The 11,925-nt window shown below is 38.2% G+C and overlaps 1 annotated feature.

Annotated features, from left to right (window-relative positions):
- Positions 11,043-11,588: an enhancer, noted in NCBI's record as "OCT4-NANOG-H3K27ac-H3K4me1 hESC enhancer chr11:103609900-103610445 (GRCh37/hg19 assembly coordinates)". NCBI's record gives its function as "activates a minimal SCP1, AML or CMV promoter by ChIP-STARR-seq in primed H9 embryonic stem cells {active_cell/tissue: H9 hESC(primed)}" and the evidence as "EXISTENCE:reporter gene assay evidence [ECO:0000049][PMID:30033119]".

Genomic DNA, 11,925 nt, shown 5'->3' with positions numbered 1-11,925 from the left:
AGCATTCCCTGGTCTTTCTTCTCTGCTCTCAGACCCTGAATGTAAACTCTCCTTCTGAATGTCCATAGCATTTTAAAAATTTCTCTTGCTGACCTTAACCTTGCTCTCCCTTCCATTATACCCGTTTTTGTTAACAGCCCTTTTTTTCTCCTCTAGACCATGAGTTTCTTGAGAAACAAGACATGCTGTTTTGTTCCTGCTCCCTACACCCATGTCACCATCTTACCCTGACTCTGCTCAGACCTAGTGCTCAGATCAGACCATGTATGTTCACATGCGGCAAGCTGAATGAGCTGAGTGGCTTAGTACTGGTTGAAAGTTGTCCCTTGAAAAGTGAAGCACTACAGATTTCCTCCTTCTTGTACTTTGAACTCTTGAGGGCATGAGCTGTGTCCTAGTTGTTGATCCTTATGTGCTTTCATGTACCTGGTGCCTGGCATATGTTAGGCATCTGATCAATGTATGCTGAGTGAAGGAATGAATGAGTGAATGAATGAATGAATAAAAGAGGACTAGGTAAATATGAAAAATAGAGGTAGATAAGTATCAGAAGGGAACCCCAAGGGTGAAAAGGAGCATGAGGCTATAAAGGGTAAGGTAGTCCTCCAAAAATTAATTTCCTCTGCCTCCCAGTTTTTTAATGTTCCTTCCCAGGTTCACCATAAAGCTGATGGGAAAAGTCCAGTGTTACATCTTAGAAAGTGAGCCCTGCTGCTTAGAATTTACATAAAATACCTGGATGAAATTATTTCAATGTAGGCAGCCTGTTATGTCTGCAGAAATCCACGGCCTAGGGGGTCTAGGGCTCCACAGATGCTGCAAATGGTGCATCTGGCCCACACTGTAGCACCTGCTCAGCATCACACTGCTCTTGCCCTTCCTGAAGTTCAAAGCTGAGTGATAATGCCATACTGCAGGAACAGAATGACAAGAAAATCAACACCTGTGGCCTTGGTTGAATTTGGGGTACCCCATGTTGTCCAGGCTCACAGATTTTTACAAGATTATATACAGCAGTATAAAGCAGGAAGGAATAGGATCACTGGGGGATGATAACAGTGAAGGGTAATTTGTTCTGTCTGTTACAGGGGATAATTAATCTGACATAGTTCACAGTGTTACATTCGAATGAAGTAGCTTATGATTAAATGCATTTTCTTTTTAATTGAAGTAACCACAGAACAATTTACAAGCTGAAACTGTGACTATACCCCAGGAACACTTGTGCTATTATTAATCAATGAATTAGGACACCACTCAAGATCACTTTTTAGCATAGAGAAGGAGGCCTGGCCAGCCCCAGCTACTCCAGCCCTCCTAGCCCAAGTGTCATACTCACAGCATCTCTACAAGATAGGATAGAAGTGACATACTGTCCATTTGGCACACTGAAAGGCTGAAGCATGAGCAACGTGCCTGTTTATCCACCAGCAAATTCTGGGTATGAATATGCCAAGGGCATGCACAGGCCTAGAAGACTCAGTCACCACACAATTATTCATTCCCAAAACATTTATTATCTACTGTATCAGACACTTTCACTGGTGCTAAAGATACAACAATGAATAAAACAGACAAAATTCCTGCTTTGATGGTATTTATATACCATTGAACAAAATACATGAAACCCAAATAAGTACATAAATTATATAACACATGTTTGGCATCAATAAATCCAGTACATAAAAATAAAGCAAGATAAAAAAGTAAAGAGTGATAGAGGAGGTTCTTTAGGTATTAATAGATAGTTTAGTAAATGTGGGAACTCAAGGTATGACATGAAGCACTATGCAAGTGTCAGGGAATAGAACAGACAAATGATACTACAAGTGTAAGAGGTAAGTGAGATCACTGCAAATTACAATAATCAGGAACAATCCACTAAAGAAGTGAGCTAGACTTTTGAAGTATGACATGCACAGTGACTTAGAAGCTGGAGAGCAGAAACTGTTATGTGAACAGTAAGTAGAAAAAGTTTCACAGTACAAACATTAGGAGGTTAAAAAAATTAATCCTTCTATTAAGCTTATTTTCTTTCTGGAAACCATTCTTAAGATATTTACTTTAACATGTATGTGCCTTTGTGCTTGCACAAACACAGAGGCTAATGGTACATGATGCCAAACCAGTGTCTCAGATATGAAAGCTATTGATCTGAATAAAAGAAGAAATAAAGATTAACCTATTTCTCCTGTCTAATTAAAACCTTGTACTATATTTCAAAATTACTTAAAGAGGATATTTTAAACATTCTCACTACAGAGAATAAATACATGAGGTAAATAGCCTGATTTAATCATTCTACAATATATAAAGATGTCATAACATCCCATTGTACTCCTTAGATATAGACAATTTTTGTCAATTAAAAATTAAATTTTAAAAAAGAATTTACATGTTAAAAAACGGAATGAATAAGTGGATGGTTGAATGATATTTATAATTGATGACAATGCAGTGGCAATCACTAGAACAGTTTCTTCAGGTGGCATTATATATAATGAAATTCCTTGAACAGTTGCTGCGTCCCAATGCTTCACAGTACCTTATGGATCAAAGGAAGGGCAACTCCAGAGTCTGGAGCACTGATTGAGGCTATTGGGCAGCATTAGGAACACAATGTCTGAAACTTATCTGAGTTTCTCTTCGTCATAAAGAAATCAGGTTTGACTGGGTTGTTTTTCTTATGTATTATGTTTTGTACACAGTAACGTCTCTTAAAGTTAAGAGTTGTTAAAAGGAACTTAATTTTTAGCATTTCCATAATTTTTTGAAGATTTATATATGTGAGCTGGCTGTCAAGTCTTACCAACAAATTAAAATTCAAGAAAAGATGCACTTTGTGTAGAATGAGCTCCTGAGTTTGGGAGTCATATGATAAACGACTATTACTTGTATAATAAATAATAGCTAATCTCCAAAGATGGCTCCTTAATGAACCATGCTTTCTGCCATGAGTTTATAGGTCTCCTTTTTGTGAATGTGGATTACAACTCGCTGGTAACCAATAGAATTCAAGAAAAATGATATTGAGGAACGGTCATAAAAAGCCTTATGATTTCTCCTTTGATATCTTAGAACAATCATTTTGGACAGAGCCAGCCCCCCGTGTAAGAAGCCTGACTACCTTGAAGCTTTCTGCTCATAGGAAATCCAAGCTAGTTATGTAGAGAGGGAGCATAGAGAAGGAGGCCTGGCCAGCCACCTGCTTACTCCTGCCCTCCTGGCCCAGGTGCCAGATAGGTTGACTAAGAACCCACATTAATAATTTTAGATTTTTCTAACTTCTTCATGAAGGCATCGGGTGCTATGAACTTTCCTCTTACACTGCATTATCTGCATCCCAAATATTTTAGTAAGTTGTGTCTCTATTTCATTAATATCAAAGAATTTTTTATTTCTGCCATAATTTCATTTTTCACCCAAGAATTATTCAGGACCAAATTGTTTAATTTTCCTGTTTTGTGTAGTTTTAAGAGATCATAGTATTGATCTCTATTTTTATTGCACTGTGGTCCAAGAGTTTGCATGGTATGATTTTGATTTTTTAATGTATCGAGACTTGCTTTATGACTGAGCATGTGGTCAATCTTAAAATATGTTCTGTATGCAGTTGAGAAGAATGTATATTCTGTGTTTGTTGGGTGGAGTATCCTGGAGATGTATATTAGATCCAATTGATCATACCTAGATAAACTACAAAAAAAAAAAAAAAAAAAAAAAAAGAACAAAGCAACCCCAAACCTAGCAGAAAAAAAGAAATAACTAATACCTAAAATGAGAGAATAACTGAATGAAATCGAGATTTAAAAATCCATATAAGAGATCAATAAAACCAAGAGTTGGTTTTTCAAAAGAATAAACAAGATTGATAGACCAATGGCTAGATTAACAAAGAAAAAAAAGAAGAAGATTCAAATAAACACAACAGCAAATGACGTTAGAACTGGTGCTATAGAAATACAAAATATTCTTAGAGACCATTATGCATACCTCTATGCACACAAATTAGAAAATCTGGAGGAAATAGATAATTCCTGGAAACACAATCTGTAAGTGAAAATGTAAGTAGACCAATAACAAGTTCTGATATTGAGTCAGTAATTAAAAACCTACCAACCAAAAAAGCCCTGGACCAGATGGATTCAAAGACAAATTTTTCCAGATATAAAAGACCTAGTACCAATTCTACTGAAACTATTTCAAAAAAATAAAAAAGAAATTGCTCCTCCCTCACTCATTCTATTAGGTTAGCATCAGCCTAATACCAAAATCTGGAAGAGACACAGAGAAAAAAGAAAACTTCAGGCCAATATCCCTTATGATCATAGACACAAAAATCTTCAACAAAATACTAGCAAACTAAATCCAGCAGCACATCAAAAAGTTAATTCACCATGATCAAATAGGCTCTTATTCTTGGTAGGCAAAGGTAGTTCAGCCTATACAAATCAATAATTGTGATTCAAATAAACAGAACCAAAAAAAACACTATATGATCATTTCAATAGATGTAAAGAAAGCCTTTGATAAAATCCAAAATCCCTTCAGGATAAAGCCCTCAACAGACTAGGCATCAAAGAACATACTTCAGAATAATTAGAGCCAGCTATGAAAACTCATAGCCAACATCATACTAAATGGCCAAAACCTGGAACAATTCCCCTTGAAAACTAGAATGAGACAAGGATGCCTGTTCTCACCACTTCTCTTCAACATATCACTGAAAGTCCTAGCCAGAGCAATCAGACAAGATAAAGAAATAAAAGGTATCCAAATAGGAAAACAAAAAGTCAAACTCTCTCTTCTTGCTGGCAATATGATTCTATACTTTAAAAATTCTAAAAATTCTGTGAAAAAGGGTCCTAGAACTGATAAACAACTTCAGTAAATGTGCAGGATACAAAAGCAATGTACAAAAATCAGTAACATTTCTATACACCAATAACATCCTAGCTGAGAGCGAAATCAAAAACACAATTCCATTCACAATAACCACCAAAAAATTAAAGTAACTAGGAATACAACAAAAGAGGTGAAAAATATCTATAAAGAGAACTACAGAACATTGCTGAAAGAAATCAGAGACAACACAAATAAAAAAATATTTTATGCTCATGGAGTGGAAGAATTGACATCATTAAAACAACCATACTTTCCAAAGCAATTTACAGATTTACTGCCATTCCTATCAAAATACAAATGTCATTTTTCACAGAATTGGAAAAAAATATTCTAAAATGTGTATGGAGTCAATAAAGAGCCCAAATAGCCAAAGCAATCCTAAGCAAAAAGAACAAAGCCAGAGGCATCACATTAACCAACTTTGAACTATACTATAAGGCTACAATAACCAAAACAGCATAGCACTTGTACAAAGACAAACACATGGACAAATGGAACAGAATAGAAAACCCAAAAATAAAGCCACATATCTACAACCATCTGATCTTCAGCAAGGTTGAAAAAAATAAGCAATGAGGAAAATACTCCATATTCAATAAATGGTGCTGGGATAACTGGCTAGCCATATGCAGAAGAATGAAACTGAAACTTTACCTTTCACCATGTACAAAAATTAACCCAAGATGGGCTGAAGATTGAAATGTAAGACCTTAAAGTATAAAAATCCTAAAGAAAACCTAGGAAATACCTTCCTGAACATGAGTTTTAGCAAAGAATTTATGGCTAAGTCCCCAAAAGCAATTGCAGCAAAAATGAAAATCAACAAGTAGGATCTACTTAAACTGAAGAGCTTCTGCACAGCAAAAGAAACTGTCAACAGAGTAAACAGACAACCTACACAGACAACCTACACAGACAACACAGAGTATAAGAAAATATTCACAAACTGTGTATCTGACAAAAGTCTATTATCCAGAATCTACAAGAAACTTAAACACATCCACAAGAAAAAAAAGTAATCAAAAATGGACAAAGGACATGAACAGATACTTCTTAAAAGAAGTCAACAAGCATATAGAAAAACGTTCCACATCACCAATCATCAAAGATATGCAAATCGAAACCACAATGAGATACCACCTCACACCAGTCAGCATGGCAATTATTAAAAAGTGAAAAAGGAACAGATGCCAGCAAGGTTCTGAAGAGGGAATGCTTTTACACTGTGGGTGGTAATGCAAATTAGTTCAGCCACTGTGGAAAGCAGTTGGAAATTTCTCAAAAAACTTAAAACAGAACCATCATTCACCCCAGCAATCCCATTACTAGCTATATACCCAAAGGAAAATAAATCATTCCACCAAAAAGACACATGCGCTCATGTGTTCATCACAGTGCTATTCACAATATCAAAGACATGGAATCAACCTAGGTGTACATCAATGGTGGACTGGATAAAGAAAATGTGGTATGTATACACCATGAAATACTACGCAGGCATAAAAGGAATAAAATCATGTCCTGTGCAGTAACATCCTCAGCAAATTAACTCAGAAATAGAAAACCAAATACTACATGTTCTCACTTATAAGTGGGAGCTAAACACTGAGTACACATGGACATAAAGATGGGAACTATAGAAACTCGGGACTACTATAAGGGGTAGGAAGAGAAGGGGGTGTGTGCTGAAAAATTATCCACTGGGAACTGTGCTCAATACCTTGGTGACAGGATCATCCACACCCTAAATCTCAGCATCATGCAAAACACTCATGTGACAAACCTGCACATGTACCCTGTAAATCCAAAATAAGAATTCAAAAAAAAAATGTGTCCTAAGAAGCCACCTTGGTAATATTGCCTGGTGGAATATTCAGATGCCTCAAGCCACAGCCAAGTTCTAACTGTACCTATTTGAGACTCTAAATAAGAACCACCTAACTGAGCCTGTCCACCTACAATATAATTATATTAGGGTAATTTATTACTTTGTGTTACATAATACGTAATTACGACAACACTAAAGTAACGAGTTATCTATCTGAAACAATGTATGTAAAAACACTTAAAAATTTTTCACCATTATACAAATGTTAAGCAAATTTGGAAAAATAGTACAATAATTGTTTTTTTTCCTTGTTTTTATTTTATTTTATTTTATTATTATTATACTTTAAGTTTTAGGGTACACGTGCACAATGTGCGGGTTAGTTACATATGTATACGTGTGCCATACTGGTGTGCTGCACCCATTAACTCGTCATTTAGCATTAGGTATATCTCCTAATGCTATCCCTCCCCACTCCCCACACCCCACAACAGTCCCCAGAGTGTGATGTTCCCCTTCCTGTGTCCATGTGTTCTCATTGTTCAATTCCCACCTATGAGTGAGAATATGCGGTGTTTGGTTTTTTGTTCTTGCAATAGTTTACTGAGAATGATGATTTCCAGTTTCATCCATGTCCCTACAAAGGACATGAACTCATCATTTTTTATGGCTTTATAGTATTCCATGTTGTATATGTGCCACATTTTCTTAATCCAGTCTGTCATTGTTGGACACTTGGGTTGGTTCCAAGTCTTTGCTATTGTGAATAGTGCCGCAATAAACATACGTGCGCATGTGACTTTATAGCAGCATGATTTATAGTCCTTTGGGTATATACCCAGTAATGGGATGGCTGGATCAAATGGTATTTCTAGTTCTAGATCCCTGAGGAATCGCCACACTGACTTCCACAATGGTTGAACTAGTTTACAGTCCCACCAACAGTGTAAAAGTGTTCCTATTTCTCCACATCCTCTCCAGCACCTGTTGTTTCCTGACTTTTTAATGATTGCCATTCTAACTGGTGTGAGATGGTATCTCATTGTGGTTTTGATTTGCATCAAATCAAACCAGTGATGGCGAGTGATGGCGAGCATTTTTTCATGTGTTTTTTGGCTGCATAAATGTCTTCTTTTGAGAAGTGTCTGCTCATGTCCTTCGCCCACATTTTGATGGGGTTGTTTGTTTTTTTCTTGTAAATTTGTTTGAGTTCATTGTAGATTCTGGATATTAGCCCTTTGTCAGATGAGTAGGTTGCGAAAATTTTCTCCCATTTTGTAGGTTGCCTGTTCACTCTGACGGTAGTTTCTTTTGCTGTGCAGAAGCTATTTAGTTTAATTAGATCCCATTTGTCAAGTTTGGCTTTTGTTGCCATTGCTTTTGGTGTTTTAGACATGAAGTCCTTGCCCATGCCTATGTCCTGAATGGTAATGCCTAGGTATTCTTCTAGGGTTTTTATGGTTTTAGGTCTAACGTTTAAGTCTTTAATCCATCTTGAATTAATTTTTGTATAAGGTATAAGGAAGGGATCCAGTTTCAGCTTTCTACATATGGCTAGCCAGTTTTCCCAGCACCATTTATTAAATAGGGAATCCTTTTCCCATTGCTTATTTTTCTTAGGTTTGTCAAAGATCTGATAGTTGTAGATATGCTGCATTATTTCTGAGGGCTCTGTTCTGTTCCATTGCTCTATATCTCTGTTTTGGTACCTGTACCATGCTGTTTTGGTTACTGTAGCCTTGTAGTATAGTTTGAAGTCAGGTAGCATGATGCCTCCAGCTTTGTTCTTTTGGCTTAGGATTGACTTGGCGATGAGAGCTCTTTTTTGGTTCCATATGAACTTTACAGTAGTTTTTTCCAGTTCTGTGAAGAAAGTAATTGGTAGCTTGATGGGGATGGCATTGAATCTATAAATTACCTTGGGCAGTATGGCCATTTTCATGATATTGATTCTTCCTACCCATGAGCATGGAATGTTCTTCCATTTGTTTGTATCCTCTTTTATTTCATTGAGCAGTGGTTTGTAGTTCTCCTTGAAGAGGTCCTTCGTGTCCCTTGTAAGTTGGATTCCTAGGTATTTTATTCTCTTTGAAGCAATTGTGAATGGGAGTTCACTCATGATTTGGCTCTCTGTTTGTCTGTTATTGGTGTATAAGAGTGCTTGTGATTTTTGTACATTGATTTTGTATCCTGAGACTTTGCTGAAGTTGCTTATCAGCTTAAGGAGATTTTGGGCTGAGACAATGGGGTTTTCTAGATATACAATCATGTCATCTGCAAACAGGGACAATTTGACTTCCTCTTTTCCTAATTGAATACCCTTTATTTCCTTCTCCTGCCTAATTGCCCTGGCCAGAGCTTCCAACACTATGTTGAATAGGAGTGGTGAGAGAGGGCATCCCTGTCTTGTGCCAGTTTTCAAAGGGAATGCTTCCAGTTTTTGCCCATTCAGTATGATATTGGCTGTGGGTTTTTCATAGATAGCTCTTATTATTTTGAGATACATCCCAACAATACCTAATTTATTGAGAGTTTTTAGCATGAAGGGTTGTTGAATTTTGTCAAAGGCTTTTTCTGCATGTATTGAGATAATCATGTGGTTTTTGTCTTTGGTTCTGTTTATATGCTGGATTACATTTATTGATTTGCGTATATTGAACCAGCCTTGCATCCCAGGGTTGAAGCCCACTTGATCATGGTGTATACGCTTTTTGATGTGCTCCTGGATTTGGTTTGCCAGTATTTTATTGAGGATTTTTGCATCAATGTTCATCAAGGATATTGGTATAAAATTCTCTTTTTTGGTTGTGTCTCTGCCTGGCTTTGGTATCAGGATGATGCTGGCCTCATAAAATGAGTTAGGGAGGATTCCCTCTTTTTCTGTTGATTGGAATAGTTTCAGAAGGAATGGTACCAATTCCTCCTTGTACCTCAGGTACAATTCAGCTGTGAATCCATCTGGTCCTGGACTCTTTTTTGTTGGTAAGCTATTGATTATTGCCACAATTTCAGAGCCTGTTATTGGTCTATTCGGAGATTCAACTTCTTCCTGGTTTAGTCTTGGGAGGGTGTGTGTGTCGAGGAATTTATCCATTTCTTCTAGATTTTCTAGTTTATTTGTGTAGAGGTGTTTGTAGCATTCTCTGATGGTAGTTTGTATTTCTGTGGGATCGGTGGTGATATCCCCTTTATCATTTTTTATTGCGTCTATTTGATTCTTCTCTCTTTTCTTCTTTATTAGTCTTGCTAGTGGTCTATCAATTTTGTTGATCCTTTCAAAAAACCAGCTCCTGGATTCATTAATTTTTTGAAGGGTTTTTTGTTTCTCTATTTCCTTCAGTTCTGCTCTGATTTTAGTTATTTCTTGCCTTCTGCTAGCTTTTGAATGTGTTTGCTCTTGCTTTTCTAGTTCTTTTAATTGTGATGTTAGGGTGTCAATTTTGGATCTTTCCTGCTTTCTCTTGTGGGCATTTAGTGCTATAAATTTGCCTCTACACACTGCTTTGAATGTGTCCCAGAGATTCTGGTATGTTGTATCTTTGTTCTCATTGGTTTCAAAGAACATCTTTATTTCTGCCTTCATTTCATTATGTACCGAGTAGTCATTCAGGAGCAGGTTGTTCAGTTTCCATGTGGTTGAGTGGTTTTGAGTGAGTTTCCTAATCCTGAGTTCTAGTTTGATTGCACTGTGGTCTGAGAGACAGTTTGTTATAATTTCTGTTCTTTTACATTTGCTGAGGAGAGCTTTACTTCCAACTATGTGGTCAATTTTGGAATAGGTGTGGTGTGGTGCTGAAAAAAATGTATATTCTGTTGATTTGGGGTGGAGAGTTCTGTAGATGTCTATTAGGTCCGCTGGGTGCAGAGCTGAGTTCAATTCCTGGGTATCCTTGTTAACATTCTGTCTCGTTGATCCGTCTAATATTGACAGTGGGGTGTTAAAGTCTCCCATTATTATTGTGTGGCAGTCTAAGACTCTTTGTGGGTCTCTTAGGACTTGCTTTATGAATCTGGGTGCTCTTGTATTGGGTGCATATATATTTAGGATAGTTAGCTCTTCTTGTTGAATTGATCCCTTTACCATTATGTAATGGCCTTCTTTGTCTCTTTTGAACTTTGTCGTTTTAAAGTCTGTTTTATCAGAGACTAGGATTGCAACCCCTGCCTTTTTTTGTTTTCCATTTGCTTGGTAGATCTTCCTCCATCCTTTTATTTTGAGCCTCTATGTGTCTCTGCACATGAGATGGGTTTCCTGAATAGAGCACACTGATGGGTCTTGAGTCTTTATCCAATTTGCCAGTCTGTGTCTTTTAATTGGAGCCTTCCTCTGGAAGTTTTGTCTCAGAGGACTACCTAGCCGTGTGAGGTGTCAGTCTGCCCCTACTGGGGGGTGCCTCCCAGTTAGGCTGCTCGGGGGTGGGGGGTCAGGGACCCACTTGAAGAGGCATTCTGCCCGTTCTCAGATCTCCAGCTGTGTACTGGGAGAACCACTGCTCTCTTCAAAGCTGTCAGACAGGGACATTTAAGTCTGCGGAGGTTACTGCTGTCTTTTTGTTTGTCTGTGCCCTGCCCCCAGAGGTGGAGCCTACAGAGGCAGGCAGGCCTCCTTGAGCTGTGGTGGGCTCCACCCAGTTCGAGTTTCCTGGCTGCTTTGTTTACCTAAGCAAGCCTGGGAAATGGCGGGCACCCCTCCCCCAGCCTCGCTGCTGCCTTGCAGTTTGATCTCAGACTGCTGTGCTAGCCATCAGGAGACTCCGTGGGCGTCTCGCTGCCAGGACCTTCCCAGCCATGTGCGGGATATAATCTCGTGGTGCACCGTTTTTTAAGCCCGTCGGAAATGCGCAGTATTCGGGTGGGAGTGACCCCATTTTCCAGGTGCCCTCTGTCACCCCTTTCTTTGACTAGGAAAGGGAACTTCCTGACCCCTTGTGCTTCCCGAGTGAGGCAATGCCTCGCCCTGCTTCAGCTCGTGTACGGTATGCTGCACCCACTGTCCTGTGCCCACTGTCTGGCACTCCCTAGTGAGATGAACCTGGTACCTAGGATGGAAATGCAGAAATCACCCATCTTTTGTGTCGCTCACGCTGGGAGCTGTAGACTGGAGCTGTTCCTCTTTGGCCATCTTGGCTGCTTCCCACAATAATTGTTAAGTAGTCTTTAAGGTTTATAAATCCCTTTCATATGTATTATTT

The sequence above is a fragment of the Homo sapiens genome, chromosome 11 (assembly GCF_000001405.40).
Source record: "Homo sapiens chromosome 11, GRCh38.p14 Primary Assembly".
In the NCBI taxonomy this organism is placed as follows: Eukaryota; Metazoa; Chordata; class Mammalia; order Primates; family Hominidae; genus Homo; species Homo sapiens.
The sequence above is the reverse complement of the archived record's forward strand: the minus strand, read 5'-3'. Positions and strand labels throughout refer to the sequence as shown.